The sequence below is a fragment of the Homo sapiens genome, chromosome 7 (genome assembly GCF_000001405.40).
Source record: "Homo sapiens chromosome 7, GRCh38.p14 Primary Assembly".
Taxonomy (NCBI): Eukaryota; Metazoa; Chordata; class Mammalia; order Primates; family Hominidae; genus Homo; species Homo sapiens.
In genome coordinates this window covers 61,724,827-61,725,999 of record NC_000007.14, presented here as the reverse complement: position 1 = coordinate 61,725,999, position 1,173 = coordinate 61,724,827, and the positions used below count along the sequence as shown (strand labels likewise).

At 42.9% G+C, this 1,173-nt stretch overlaps 1 annotated feature.

The window, feature by feature from the left end:
* Positions 519-726: a silencer, noted in NCBI's record as "fragment chr7:61532282-61532489 (GRCh37/hg19 assembly coordinates)". NCBI's record gives its function as "represses an EF-1alpha promoter that drives an FKBP-Casp9 reporter gene in an ReSE screen in K562 erythroleukemia cells {active_cell/tissue: K562}" and the evidence as "EXISTENCE:reporter gene assay evidence [ECO:0000049][PMID:32094911]".

The following is a 1,173-nucleotide window of genomic DNA, read 5'->3' as shown; positions in this document are numbered from 1 at the left end:
GGAATCGCCACACTGACTTCCACAATGGTTGAACTAGTTTACAGTCCCACCAACAGTGTAAAAGTGTTCCTATTTCTCCACATCCTTTCCAGCACCTGTTGTTTCCTGACTTTTTAATGATTGCCATTCTATCTGGTGTGAGATGATATCTCATTGTGGTTTTGATTTGCATTTCTCTGATGGCCAATGATGATGAGCATTTTTTCATGTGTTTTTTGGCTGCATAAATGTCTTCTTTTGAGAAGTATCTCTTCATATCCTTCGCCCACTTTTTTATTTTTTATTTTTGTATTTTTTTTTTGAGACGGAGTCTCGCTCTGTCGCCCAGGCTGGAGTGCAGTGGCCCGATCTCGGCTCACTGCAAGCTCCGCCTCCCGGGTTCACGCCATTCTCCTGCCTCAGCCTCCCGAGTAGCTGGGACTACAGGCGCCCGCCACTGCGCCCAGCTAATTTTTTGTATTTTTAGTAGAGACGGGGTTTCACCGTGTTAGCCAGGATGGTCTCGATCTCCTGACCTCGTGATCTGCCCGCCTCGGCCTCCCAAAGTGCTGGGATTACAGGCGTGAGCCACCGCACCCGGCCCCTTCGCCCACTTTTTGATGGGGTTGTTTGTTTTTTTCTTGTAAATTTGTTTGAGTTCATTGTACATTCTGGATATTAACCCTTTGTCAGATGATTAGGTTGCGAAAATTTTCTCCCATTTTGTAGGTTGCCTGTTCACTCTGATGGTAGTTTCTTTCTTTTGCTGTGCAGAAGCTCTTTAGTTTAATTAGATCCCATGTGTCAATTTTGGCTTTTGTTGACATTGCTTTTGGTGATTTAGACATGAAGTCCTTGCCCATGCTTATGTCCTGAATGGTAATGCCTAGGTTTTCTTCCAGGGTTTTTATGGTTTTAGGTTTAATGTTTAAGTCTTTAATCCACCTTGAATTAATTTTTGTATAGGTGCAAGTAAGTGATCCAGTTTCAGCTTTCTACATATGGCTAGCCAGTTTTCCCAGCACCATTTATTAAATAGGGAATCCTTTCCCCATTGTTTGTTTTTCTCAGGTTTGTCAAAGATCAGATAGTTGTAGATATGTGGCATTATTTCTGAGGGCTCTGTTCTGTTCCATTGGTCTATATCTCTGTTTTGGTACCAGTACCATGCTGTTTTAGTTACTGGAGCCTTGT